Source organism: Homo sapiens, chromosome 10 (assembly GCF_000001405.40).
Source record: "Homo sapiens chromosome 10, GRCh38.p14 Primary Assembly".
In the NCBI taxonomy this organism is placed as follows: domain Eukaryota; kingdom Metazoa; phylum Chordata; class Mammalia; order Primates; family Hominidae; genus Homo; species Homo sapiens.
In genome coordinates this window covers 114,783,649-114,798,277 of record NC_000010.11, presented here as the reverse complement: position 1 = coordinate 114,798,277, position 14,629 = coordinate 114,783,649, and the positions used below count along the sequence as shown (strand labels likewise).

Here is a 14,629-nt window from a genome sequence, read left to right as displayed (position 1 = left end):
AGCTAATTTTTGTATTTTTAGTAGAGATGGGGTTTCGCCATGTTGGCCAGGCTGGTCTCGAACTCCTGACCTCAGGTGATCTGCCTGCCTCAGCCTCCCAAAGTGCTGGGATTACAGGCATGAGCCACCGCGCCCGGCCAATAGCACATTATTATATAAAAAATATATAAGGCAAATTAGTTGCACTTAACTTCGTTGGATAAAAACATAGTAACATAGTCATTATACAGTTACCTGCTTTGTGGACATAGTTAATAGTAAAATAGCAAATAAGTAATTTATTTTACTTCACAAATAATGACAGTTTTTTTATAGTCAGTTCAACTTTGTGAGAAATTTAACCTTGTGTATATATGGACAAAAATGTGTTATGTTACTCAGATAAAGTAGATAAGATAACTTCATAATACCAGGTCACAGAGTGGAATATTTAGGAATTATAGGCCAATCTAACTGTCCTGTCCCACTTTAGCCCCAGAAGGCCATAAATCAACATGTAATGAGCTAATCTACCTTTTTATATTAAGTCTTTGAAACTTGCTGAGTATTTATCAGTTGAGACTTCCTGTATTTCAAGTGCTCAATAGCCACATGTGGCTAGTGGCTACCATATTGAATAGCATAGTTTTTTTCAAAGGAGGAAATCAATAGAGGAATAAAATAAGGAAGGGATTACTGCAGGAAAGACAGGAAGGTGGAAGTGAGATTGCACTGGGTTAAAAAAATCAGAGTTTCTGAGAAGATACAAGGGAATGGAATTTTGAGCCCATTGAATGAGAGAGACACTAAGTGTGTGTAAGAGTGCTACCTAGGGAAACATTGACTGTGGAACTAGTGGGCAGCTTTGGAATTTGATGACTATGTATCCAATCTATACTGTTATGTGATTTTCTCCAGCAACCTTTGGTAACCTGGTTGTAGGTAATAGAAAGATAGTCATTTGAAATCAATCAGAAATAAGGTTTTTCCATTCAGGTATGAAGAAGGGACTATGAGTTAAAGGAGTTGAAGAATCTATTCAGAAAGTGGCTCAAGTGATGGAACTTAAAATCTAATATGAAGTGGAAATGAAAACAGGAGGGAGTTGATATGGAGAAAGTAGATGTGACAATTTTTTGGAGGTTCCAACAACGTCTGGGGACCCATCTCTTGGGAATAGTTGATGAGATAATTGGAAGAATAGGAAGTTACGGTGAGAGAGTGAGATGATTGGATTTATTGTTTATGAAGTTGGACAGTTTTGTTGATGGCAAATTTAGGATGTTGATGTGGAGGATGGGTATTGAAATGGAGTGTATGGGAAAGGCATTAGAGATGATGAGGTCAAGAAGCTGAAAGTTCACGGTTTGGGATGGGTCACCCATGAGGATATGCAGGTCGTAAGATGATGGCAGGACTTGGAGTGAGGAGAACAACTGTCCCATGGCCCAGAAGTCTACAAGTAACAGCAACAAGGTGGGGTGGAGGTTGGTATAGCCAAATGGCTTAAAGCTAAAAGGAGTAGGAATTTTGACATGACAGTGGAAAAGCAAGGTCTGGGAGTAGCAGTGGGGAGGGAGGAGATTACCAACCTTAAAGATCATGTAGTTCAAAGACTTCTATAGATAAGGAAACTGGGGTCAGAGAGTGGTAGCCAGCCTCCAAGATATTCCCCAGTGAGCCCCACTTTATGGTATTCACACCCTTGTGTAGTACCCTCCTGCAGTGTACCAGGGTCAGTTTATGTGAAGGGTAGAATACAGCAGAAGTATGTTATGTCTGAGATTAGGTTTAAAGGCTAGTGTTCACTCTTGTCTAGTTGCCCTCTTGCTCTTGGGTCTTCACTCTGGGGAAAGCCAACTGACATATCACAAACAACCCTGGAGAGACCCACATGGCAAGGAACTGAAGCCTCTTGCCAGCAACCATGTGAGTGAGCTTAGAAGTAGATCCCCCAGCTCCAGTCAAGCCTTCAGATGACAGCAGTTCCAGCTGACATCTTTATCGCAACCTCTTGAGAATCCCTGAGCCCTGTGGGACCTGTTACGCCACTCCTGAATTCCCAACCCACAGAAACTGTGAGATAATATGTTTGTTGTTTTAAGCCTCTATGCTTGGGGTAATTTGTTAAGCAGCAATAGATAAATAATACTGAAAAATTTTGAAGCTTACCCAAAGTCACAAAGCTAGTTAGTGGCCAACATGAAGTGAGAACACAGGGCTCCTGCCTCTCAAGTCAAGGTTCTGTAAGATCACACATATCTGAGGATATCTTGGCCTCCTTTTGTAGTGGATGCCCATAAATTCAGGAGGTGGTAATAACTACCTGAAAATACTGAATAGGTCATAGTTTGGCTTTTTTATAGGCAAAATAAAATAAAAACAAGGACATGCTTTCTCATGGAATATGGAATAATATTTAGTATGATAAGTAATTTTACATCCCTACCATATAGTAATATGCAAGTATTTCTAAGGCAGGCTTATATCTTTTTGCCACAATTTCTGGAAGAATTGAGAGGATTAATTCAGGTTTGTGCGACCACTGAGTGGTAAAACCAGAAATGTAATTTCTTTTTTTTTTTTTTTGAGATGGAGTCTCGCTCTTGTTGCCCAGACTGGAGTACAATGGTGTGATCTCAGCTCACTGCAACCTTTGCCTCCCGTGTTCAAGCAATTCTCCTGCCTCAGCCTCCCAAGTGGCTGATACTACAGGCTCGTGCCACCACGCCTGGCTAGTTTTTTAATATTTTTAGTAGAGACAGGGTTTCACCATTTTGGCCAGGCTGGTCTCAAACTCCTGACCTCAGGTGATCCGCCCACTTCGGCCTCCCAAAGTGCGGAGATTACAGGTGTGGGCTACTGCACCCAGCCCAGAAGTGTAATTTCTACTAGGCTTCTTTTGACCACTTGACAAGGATGGCATAGTGGACCTGGTATTAGTTATCCCACTTAAGCACTTCAATGTAAGTCTGACCTTTTTGTGCGGTGAATGAGTGACAGGGTCTAGTGTCTGCATTCTGCCTATTCCCTCTAAATGTAATATTCAGAGAAGGGCAGACTGCCAGAAAGGCACTTTGTGTCTTCTATTTGCATGCCATAGACGCTACCATTTGTATGCGCATGACTATTAGGTCAAAGAATGTTTGTGTGACCCTTTGATTTATAATCTGGGTCTCAGTTTTTAAAAAATGTGATTATATGATATTTTTATTTTTTTCTTCCTTAAAAATAGAACTAGAAAAGTGAGAGGGTTGGTTTAAGTTTCATTAGAACATGGAGTTTTTTAAAAAATTAATCTCAAGTGTGTTCAAGCTTTCAATTTCCTTAAATCTCATAAAAATTCAGATGTATGTCCAATTATTCCTCATTACAGCCAGGAAGTTAATTTGCTGTCATATATTCTCAGCATTAGGGAGATTCTTGAATGTTTTCCTGTATTTTTTCTCACTATACTTGAAAAAAATAGATTTGCCAGCTATTCCCTGGTTTTACTTGTACTCCTGAGAGTCAAAGAAAGACAATTTTCACTTCCTTGACATTTTAGCACTTTCCTGGCTATGATCCAGCTAATTAACTGTGGGTCAAGCTTGCTTTAGATAAAGTACTATTTTATATTAAAAAGGTTAGTGATTAGTATGTAGTTTGAATTTTATTTTACAAAATTTCAGCATTAAAAAACATCAGCATCAAGAAACCCCAAAAAACACAAATATGTATCCTCAATTACTGATGTTACTCATTTTTCTAGTTGTATCTCATTTTTCAGAAACCTCAGATGTTCATAATCAAACTTACATTTGTAAATTCCTTTGATTTTTTAAATGAACCTATAAATGGTTCTTAGTAAAAATTCATTCATTCATTCAGCAAAACTTACTGAGTACTTATTATGTGCCAGGTACATTTTTTGGTTGTTGGGCATATGGGAATAAATAAGACATACGAAGTCTATGTTTTCATGGCACTTGCATTGTAATTGGGGATGAGAATCAATAAACAAAAGAGATATAATATATCAAATGGTGACTAAATGTAGTGAAGAGAAAATGAAGCAGGGTAAGAGGATAGCGAACACGAATAAGTAGAGGGGTCAAGCTATGTATGTATCTGGGACAGAAATATTCCGGAGAGGAAGACTAGTGCAAAGGCAAGTTAACCAAACCTAGTAGGTCCAGACACATCCAGGAGACTTGTGTAGCCACAGCAGAGTCCAAGAGGAGATGGGATCCATGGAGAAGCAGCGGCCAGACTGCATGGTGCCTACAGGAGATGGAAAGGAATTTGGTTTTAGCTTGATCACTTCTGGCTGCTGCGTGAAGAGACTACAGGACTGTAACTGCAGAAGCAGTCCAACTAACTAGAAGATGTGCAAGAGATTTATTAAGAGGAACACCTGTGAGGGGAGATGGAGAGGGTGCCAGAATAGGGTTTGAGAGCTTTCAGACTGCAATGCAGGTCTGACCCTGGTAATAGACAGAGGGAGGGCAAAAGGATGGACGGGAGACTTGGAGACTACAGTACAGCTCTGTGAAAGTTTGGCAAGGCCAGTAGGGAGTCCTTGAGCCCAAACTACCCATCAGAGGAGTCTCCCATCTCCCAGTAATGGGCCTGCTCCTGTGTTCCTGCCACACTCAAGTCATTAGCTGGGAGTAGCCTTTGGGACACCCAGCCTCAGCAAGAACACAGGGATCAAGATTTCAGGTGCAGGAGCTGGGGCCACTGTCAATTATGCTGCACTATCAGCATAAAGTGCAGCATAAAGCTGCACTGCTTTTATAAATACCTGAGGCTGGGTAATTTATAAAGAAAAGAGGTTTAATTGGCTCATGGTTCTGCAGGCTGTACAGGAAGCATGGTGCTGGCATCTGCTTGGTTGTGGGGAGGCCTCAGGAAACTTACAGTCATGGTGGAAGGCAAAGGGGGAGCAGGCACGTCACATGGCCAAGGCAAGAGAGTGAGGGAAGGTGCCACGCACTTTCAGACAACCAGATCTCATGAGGATTCACTCACTATCACAAGGACAGCACCAAGAGGATGGTGCTAAACCATTCATGAGAAATCTGCCCTCCTGATCCAGTTACCTCCCACCAGGCCCCACCTCCAACATTGGGGATTGCATTTCTTTTTTTCTTTTTATTTTTTTTGAGATGGTGTCTCACTCTGTCGCCCAGGCTGGAGGGCAGAGGCGCGATCTCGGCTTACTGCAACCTCTGCCTCCCAGGTTCAAGTGATTCTCATACCTCAGCCTCCTGAGTAGCTGGGATTACAGGCATGTGCCACCATTCCTGGCTAATTTTTGTATTTTCAGTAGAGATGGGATTTCACCATGTTGGCTAGGCTTGTCTCGAACTCCAGACCTCAGGTGATCTTCCCACTTCTGCCTCCCAAAGTGCTGGGATTACAGGCATGAGCCACTGCACCCAGCTGGGGATTACATTTCAACATGAGATTTGGGTGGTGACACAGATCCAAATTATATCAGATCTCCACATAGAGACATTGATAAAGCAGCTGAATATAGAATCTGGGTTCAAGGGAAAGGTCCAAGCTGGAAATATAAATTTGAAAATCATCAACATATGAACAGTATTAACAGTCATGGGATTGGATTGGTTTACCCAAGGAGCCTCATGGATGGAGGGAAGAAGAGGATCAAGACCTGAGAAGGAGAAGAGGAGAATCCCACAGAAAGAAGAAGGAGCAGCCAGCAGGAGGTAGGGGAACCACAAAGCAGTGGTGTCCAGGAAGCCAAAGGAAAAAGTTGTCTGAAAGGATAAATTCTCTGTTCCTTATTCTACTTCTTTATTCTTGATATCTATTAAATGAAAGTTATCTGATGTATCAGTATCTTGCTAAGTGGGCCTACTAAATAATCAAGAAGGAAATAAAGCTTATAAGAATACTGACTTTGTGACCAATTCAAAACCTGTGTCCACCATTCACTCTGTGTCCTTGGGCAAGATTCTTTTTTGTGTGTGACAGGGTCTGGCTCTGTCACCCAGGCTAGAATGCAGTGGTGTGATCTTGGCTCACTGCAACCTCTCCCTCCCAGGCTCAAGCCATCCTCCCACCTCAGCCTCCTAAATAGTTGGGACTACAGGCATGTGCCACCACACCCAGCTGATTTTTGTCTTTTTTGTAGAGATGAGGTCCCACCTTGTTGCCCAGTCTGGTCTTGAACTCCTGAACTCAAGCAATCCGTCCGCCTTGGCCTCCCAAAATGTTGGGATTACAGGTGTGAGCCACTGTACCCAGCCAAGATTCTTAACCTCTATTTGCTTCCGTTTCCTCATTTCCACATTGGGGATTATAGAATTGCTAAGAGGATTAAGTAAGTTAAGAGTTGTAAATGATTATTGAGACAGTGCCAGGCACATGGTAAGTGCTTAATACATGTTACATATTATTACATAAGGCATACTGCAATGAAAGGTCAATTTTACTATCTCTCAAGTTTTCTGATGGTAGCAGCTAGAGTGTAAGGGTTCCTTTTAGATTTCATTTCTCTGATTGGGGTCTTCATGTATTCTGTATTTCTCTTTTCATGGTTTTTCCTTTTTATATATTGAAATAAGAGTAATTTAAAAAATCTGCACAACTCCTTGTATTTGAAGTTTTGTTGTTGTTGTTTTGTTTTCTTGTTTTTGTTTTTTTTTTTGAGACGGAATCTTGCTCTGTCGTCCAGGCTGGAGTGCAGTGGCGCAATCTTGGCTCACTGCAAGCTCCCCCTCCCAGGTTCACGCCATTCTCCTGCCTCAGCCTCCCGAGTAGCTGGGACTACAGGCGTCCACCACCACGCCCGTCTAATTTTTTGTATTTTTAGTAGAGACGGGGTTTCACCATGTTAGCCAGGATGGTCTCGATCTCCTGACCTCGTGATCCGCCGGCTTTGGCCTCCCAAAGTGCTGGGATTACAGGCATGAGCCACCGCGCCCTGCCATATTTAAAGTTTTTAAACCAGCCACCAGCAGAGGCCTTTAAAAGCAGACGATGAGCCTGGGCAACAAAGCAAGACCCTGTCTCTACAAACAATTTTTTGTTTTTTAAGTAGCCCTGTGTAGTGACACAGGCCTGTAGTCTTAGCTACTCAGGAGGCTTATGTGGCGGGATCAGTTTAGCCCAGGAGTTCGAGGCTGCCATGAGCTATGATCGCTATGATCGCTCCAGTACACTCCAGCCTGGGAGACAGAGTGAGACCCCATCTGTAAAATAAATAAATGAATAAATAAAATTAAAGCAGATCATGATTTGGCAGATTTTTTTTTAAAAAGGATAAATAATTTCATAGAACAGTGTTTTTAAAGCTTTTTGGGGTTACTGATCCCTTTGAGAATCAGATAAAAGTTCTTCCCTGAAAAATGCATTTACAAATACATGTAATTTTAATTACAATTTTAGGGCATTTGTGTGTCCTTGAAGCCAACCCTTGAGTCTTCCAAGGCAACCATGAAGTCAGATTTTGAATTGACTGCAAAGTCCACGTTCTTATAAGCTTTATTTTCTTATTATTTAGTAGGTCCATTTAGCAAAATCTCAACACATCATGAATTTTAAGTCATTCACATGCTTCTAGTGTAAACAAAAAGGAATTTCCCTTAGAGAAACCTCAATTCTGAACCAATTAAGTTGGAGAGAAAAATAAAATGATTCATGGGAAATGTGACCTGTGCACTCAGGGCCCTGCACTCAGAAGGGTCCACACCTAGGTTAATGCTGTTCTGTTACCATGTTGAAATTTTTAGTAATTTTTGAGCAAGACGCTTCTTATTTTTGTATTCCATAGGGCCTTGAAAATTATATAGCCAAAGAAACACATAGACACACAATTTAAATTCACTAGGGTTTTTCTCTCTTTGACATTTAAACAAGAACACAAAGTAAACAGGAAATACAATTTCCAATGTCTTTTAAAGATAATGTTTTTATATAAGTTGTGTGTTCTCACTAGTTTTTTCTTCTTGAGGTAATGTATTAATTAATCACAATCTGCTCTTATAATTTTGACATTCACTTTAAAACTCCAAAGGGAAGATGTGATTAGGTATTAAAATTATCTTAAACAATATTAAAAGATAGACATATAGGAACCTCTATATTCCAGGCCAAACTACCTAAGCAAAAGAAAGATTTTGATGTTAGTAGAAAATATTTGCAAACTATACATCTAACAAAGGTCAAATATCCAGAATATGCAAGAAACTTGAGGCCGGGCCAGTGGCTCACGCCTGTAATCCCCACACTTTGGGAGGCCAAGGCAGGTGGATTGCCTGAAGTCAGGAGTTCTAGACCAGCCTGGCCAACATGGCGAAACGCCATCTCTACTAAAAATACAAAAATTAGCTGGGCGTGGTGGCATGCACCTGTAAATCCAGCTACTCCAGAGGCTGAGGCAGGAGAATCGCTTGAACCCAGGAAGTGAAGGTTGCAATGAGCTGAGATCATCATGCCACTGCACTTCAGCCTGGGGGATAGAGTGAGACTCTGTATCCAAAAAAAAAAAAAAACAAATATACATGCAAAAAACAACCCGATTAAAAAGTGGGCATAGGACATGGACAGACACTTTTCAAAAGAAGATATACATGTGGCCAACAAGCATATGAAAAAATGCTCAATATCACTAATCATTGGAGCAATGTAAATCAAAACTACAATGAGATACCGTCTCACACCAGTCAGAATGGCTGTTAAAAAGTCAAAAAATAACAGATGCTGATGAGGTTGCAGAGAAAAGGGAACATTTATACACTTCTGGTGGGAGTGTAAATTAGTTCACGAGTTTACCTATGTAACAATCCTGTACATGTACCCCAAGTCTAAAGTAAAAGTTATAAAAAAAGATTTTGATGTCAATGGGAAGCTCACACTAAGGCAATAAGGAGCAAGATGGTAGCAGAGACATGAATGGTCGTACATGCCTATTAAGATGCTTGGACCCTCTCCTGAGGCCATAGAGACCATCGAAAGGTTTTAATTAGCAGAGTATGGTCAACATCATTATCTGCATTTTTTTCTTTTTTCTCTTCTTTTTTATTTTTTTTGAGACGGAGTCTTGTTCCGTCGCCCAGGCTGGAGTGCAGTGGTATGATCTCGGCTCACTGCAACCTCCATCTCCCAGGTTCAAGCGATTCTTCTGCCTCAGCCTCCCAAGTAGCTGGGACTACAGGCACGTGCCATCACTCCCGGCTAATTTTTGTATTTTTAGTAGAGGTGGGGTTTCACCATATTGACCAGGCTGGTTTTGAGCTCCTGACCTCGTGATCCGCCCACCTCGGCCTCCCAAAGGGCTGGGATTACAGGCATGAGTCACTGTGCCTGGCCATTATCTTCATTTTTAAGGGTTGCCAGATTTAGCAAATAAAACTACAGAATGCCCAGTTAAATTTGAATTTCAGATAAACAATGAATAATTTTTTGGTACTGGTGTATTCTATGCAATATTTGGTACATACTTACCTAAGAAGTATTAGTTGTTAACTGAAATTCAACTTTACGTGAGCCTCCTGTATTTTATCTGGCAAGCCTATGAGGTTTTGTTTTGTTTTGTTTGTTTGTTTGTTTGTTTTTTGAGACGGAGTCCCACTCTGTCACCCAGGCTGGAGTGCGGTGGGGCAATCTCGGCTCACTGCAACCTCCACCTCCCAGGTTCTAGCGATTCTCCTGCCTCAGCCTTTGTAGTAGCTGGGATTACAGGCACACGCCACCACGCCCAGCTAATTTTTGTATTTTTAGTAGAGACGGGGTTTCACCATATTGGTCAGGCTGGTCTCAAACTCCTGACCTCAGGTGATCCGTCCCCCTCAGCTTCCAAAAGTGCTGGGATTACAGGCGTGAGCCTCCTTGCCCAGTCCCTACTAGATTTCTTTCTTTTTTTTTTTTTTTGGAGTTGACTCACAGCTCTGCTACTAGCTGTGTAACTTGGGTTGAGTTATTTATTTATTTATTTATTTTTTTTTTTTTTATTTTTTTATTGATCATTCTTGGGTGTTTCTCGCAGAGGGGGATTTGGCAGGGTCACAGGACAATAGTGGAGGGAAGGTCAGCAGATAAACAAGTGAACAAAGGTCTCTGGTTTTCCTAGGCAGAGGACCCTGCAGCCTTCCGCAGTGTTTGTGTCCCTGGGTACTTGAGATTAGGGAGTGGTGATGACTCTTAACGAGCATGCTGCCTTCAAGTGTCTGTTTAACAAAGCACATCTTGCACCGCCCTTAATCCATTTAACCCTGAGTGGACACAGCACATGTTTCAGAGAGCACAGGGTTGGGGGTAAGGTCACAGATCAACAGGATCCCAAGGCAGAAGAATTTTTCTTAGTACAGAACAAAATGAAAAGTCTCCCATGTCTACCTCTTTCTACACAGACACGGCAACCATCCGATTTCTCAATCTTTTCCCCACCTTTCCCCCCTTTCTATTCCACAAAACTGCCATTGTCATCATGGCCCGTTCTCAATGAGCTGTTGGGTAAACCTCCCAGACGGGGTCGTGGCCGGGCAGAGGGGCTCCTCACTTCCCAGTAGGGGCGGCAGGGCAGAGGCTCCCCTCACCTCCCGGACGGGGCGGCTGGCCGGGCGGGGGGCTGACCCCCCCACCTCCCTCCCGGACGGGGTGGCTGGCCGGGCAGAGGGGCTCCTCACTTCCCAGTAGGGGCGGCCGGGCAGAGGCACCCCTCACCTCCCGGACGGGGCGGCTGGCCGGGCGGGGGGCTGACCCCCCACCTCCCTCCCGGACGGGGTGGCTGGCCGGGCGGGGGGCTGACCCCCACACCTCCCTCCCGGACAGGGCGGCTGGCCGGGCAGAGGGGCTCCTCACTTCCCAGTAGGGGCGGCTGGGCAGAGGCGCCCCTCACCTCCCGGATGGGGCGGCTGGCCGGGCGGGGGGCTGACCCCCCCATCTCCCTCCCGGACGGGGTGGCTGCCGGGTGGAGACGCTCCTCACTTCCCAGACGGGGTGGCTGCCGGGCGGAGGGGCTCCTCACTTCTCAGACGGGGCGGCTGCTGGGCAGAGAGGCTCCTCACTTCTCAGACAGGGCGGTTGCCAGGCGGAGAGGCTCCTCGCTTCTCAGACAGGGCGGTTGCCAGGCAGAGGGTCTCCTCACTTCTCAGACGGGGCGGCCGGGCAGAGACGCTCCTCACATCCCGGACGGGGCGACAGGGCAGAGGCGCTCCCCACATCTCAGACGATGGGCAGCCGGGCAGAGACGCTCCTCACTTCCTAGATGGGATGGCGGCAGGGAAGAGGCGCTCCTCACTTCCTAGATGGGATGGCGGCTGGGCAGAGACGCTCCTCACTTTCCAGACTGGGCAGCCAGGCAGAGGGGCTCCTCACATCCCAGACGATGGGCGGCCAGGCAGAGACGCTCCTCACTTCCCAGACGGGGTGGCCGCCGGGCAGAGGCTGCAATCTCCACACTTTGGGAGGCCAAGGCAGGCTGCTGGGAGGTGGATGTTGTAGCGAGCCGAGATCACGCCACTGCACTCCAGCCTGGGCACCATTGAGCACTGAGTGAAGGAGACTCCATCTGCAATCCCGGCACCTCGGGAGGCGGAGGCTGGCGGATCACTCGCGGTTAGGAGCTGGAGACCAGCCTGGCCAACCAGATTTCTTAATGTAATGCCTGATGATGATACATGGTCAGTGGTAAATACATTTCAGTGCCCCTCTGCTTTTCTTGCCACCTGTAGGTGGCAGTCTTATCAAATAATTTCAAGAGACCTATGACAAATGTGTTTAATATTGTGCTGTACAAGTTTAATACTGTTTAATCCATCTATTAATAAGGCTCTTAAAATTATATAAATGTTTACATAAAATAAAAATAAATTTGAAGGTGCTCAAAACTAAATATAATTCAGTCCTCATCTTTTATACAACTTACTATCGAATATTCAAATCTAGATAGCTCATTCTAGTGAAGTACAGTGCTTTTATACTTTATGGATATTTTGAGGTATTTTGTAGCTTTTCATGATATTGTAAATGGGGTCTTTTCCCCTCATATTTTCTAACAGACTACTTTTGCTGTGTAAGTAGCTATTGATTTTTGTATGTTTTTGTTTCAGACCATACTCTGTTAGTTCAAATAGTATTACCATAAATACTCTTGGATTTTCCAGTAGACAATTAAATGATCTGCAAATAATTTACTTTTCTCTCTTTTTCAAATAGCAATAAATCTCTTTTAAAAAACTGAATGTAATTCTGCTAGATGCAGGTATTAAGAATAAAAAGAAATAATTATATTGATACTCTTATAAAACTATTTCTGGCCAGGTGCGGTGGCTCATGCCTGTAATCCCAGCACTTTGGGAGGCTAAGGCGGGTGGATCACCTGAGATTAGGAGTTCAAGTCCAGCCTGGCCAACACGGTGAAACCTCATCTCTACTAAAAATACAAAAATCAGCCGGGTGTGGTGGCATGCACCTGTAATCCCAGCTACTCGCAAAGCTGAGGCAGGAGAATGGCTTGAACCCAAGAGGTGGAGGTTGCAGTGAGCTGAGATCGTGCCACTGCACTCTAGCCTGGGCAACAGAGCGAGAATCGGTCTCAAAACAAAAACAAAACAAACAAACAAACAAAAACTGTTTCCATTAGTATGAGATTTTATATTCACTCAAAACTATTATAATAATATAAAATTATAATCCAAAAAGATAATTGTAACCTTATAGTTGTATTTATACATGAATAATATAGAATTATGTAAAAATAGGACCTCAATTATCTATTTCATCTACACCCATGCCCCCCTACCCATTATACTAAGAATGCTATTCTTATCACAGATTTGTTTTCTTACAAAGCCAAAGGAAAAAAACATCCCCATGAGATCCAATAAAGTCTTTAAGTAACTTATTCCATTATTACATACTGGATTCTAAAAAGAATAACTATAATTCCTTTTGAATTTCAATACAAGAGACTTCAATCTTTTAAAAGAAAGTTACATCACTTCATACCATTATTCATTGTCTTTTGAGCTGTGACAGTGTACTCAGTACTACACAAAACACAGGACACAGTGCCTTCCCACATCTGATGTTGAGAAGCCACCTAGGAGTTAGAATCTATGAACATGAGTTTCGAAGGTAGCACCTTTAGGTGTTTTAGTTCACAGATATTTTAATGTGTGTTGATTTATAAACTGTAAAATAGGATGGAAGTTTAAATATTAATCTGAAAAATAAACTTTGTACGAGGTGGCACTGTTTGGCAATATGCTATTTCTTTTGAAATTGACTAAGTAATGTTTCCTTATACTTTGCTCTATTCTGGTACTTACTCTGCAAGTATAAGATCTATTAATCATTTTATGAATATGAAAGTAAATTAGTCTCAATGAAAAAATTAGAAAACACAGAAAAGGGTAAATAGAAAAATCATCTGCAATTCAATGTTTAGGTAGCTTATGACATTTTTTTTCCTTTATGGTCCAGGAAAGTCATAATAAGGCATATGTTTTGGAATCAAACAAATCTGGGTTCAGATTCTACCCTCTCCACTTATTCAGTGCACGTTGCAGTAAACCTCTTAATCTCACTGAGTTTATTTCAAATTTTGACTTGTCTTCCTTCTCCAGCTACCATCCATTTTTTTTTTTTTTTCTTTTTCTTTTTTTTTTTTTTTTTTGAGGTGAGTCTCCCTCTGTTGCCCAGGCTGGAGTGCAGTGGCTGGATCTCAGCTCACTGCAACCTCTGCCTCCCGGGTTCAAGCAATTCTCCTGCCTCAGCCTCCCGAATAGCTGGGATTACAGGCGCCCGCCACCACGCCCAGCTCATTTTTTTGTATTTGTAGTAGAGATGGGATTTCACCATGTTGACCAGCCTGATTTTGAACTCCTGACCTCAAGTGATCCACCCACCTTGGCCTCCCAAAGTGCTAGGATTACAGGCGTGAGCTACCATGCCCGGCCCATTTCTTTCTTTCTTTCTTTCTTTCTTTCTTTTTTTGAGACAGAGTCTTGCTCTGTTGCCCAGGCTGGAGTGCAGTGGCACGATCTCGGCTCACTGCAACTTCCGCCTCCCAGGTTCAAGCAATTCTTCTGCCTCAGCCTCTGGAGTAGCTGGGACTACAGGTGCGCACCACCGAGCCTGGCTAATTTTTGTATTTTTAGTAGAGATGGGGTTTTGCCATGTTGGCCAGGCTTGTCTAGAACTCCTGACCTTGTGATCCGCCCCCCTCAGCCTCCCAAAGTGCTGGGATTACAGATGTGAGCCACTGCGCCCGGCCCATCCGTTTCTTTAGAAAAGTGTGCATTGTCCTTTCTTACCCTCATTCCATTCCTCTACCTACTGCAATCTGGCTTCTGTCCCCATTGTCCAGAAACGACTCTCATGAAGGTCACTAACAGCTTCCGTGTTGCCAAGTTCAGTGCACATTTTCCTTCTTTATTTTATGCTCCCTCTCAGCAGCTGTGTTGCCCTGGCACGCTGCAGGAGTGATACTGGACAGCTTATTGCAAACATTTCTTTCCAAGTTCAGTGAAGGAGTGTTGGTAGCTTGAAATTATTAGCCACAGTGACAGTATTTACACCACAAAAATCAGCAAATGCTACAAATCAGGGCCTTTTTTCCTGACAGCCACATACTAAACATTTACCTGCACACCGAGAGAGATAAGTGACCACTTTTCCCTTCACAAGATGC

General features: G+C 43.2%; 1 protein-coding gene across 15 annotated transcripts in view; it reads left to right on the top strand.

Moving 5' to 3' along the window:
* The window catches only part of ABLIM1 (actin binding LIM protein 1), a 370,264-nt gene that overhangs the window by 3,096 nt on the left and 352,539 nt on the right, over nucleotides 1–14,629 (top strand). For all 15 annotated transcript variants that reach the window (XM_047425242.1, XM_047425238.1, XM_047425237.1 and 12 more), the window contains exon 3: nucleotides 5,606–5,696. In XM_047425242.1, the coding sequence (XP_047281198.1) occupies nucleotides 5,606–5,696 (91 nt within the window). The remainder of the gene's footprint in view (nucleotides 1–5,605; nucleotides 5,697–14,629) is intronic.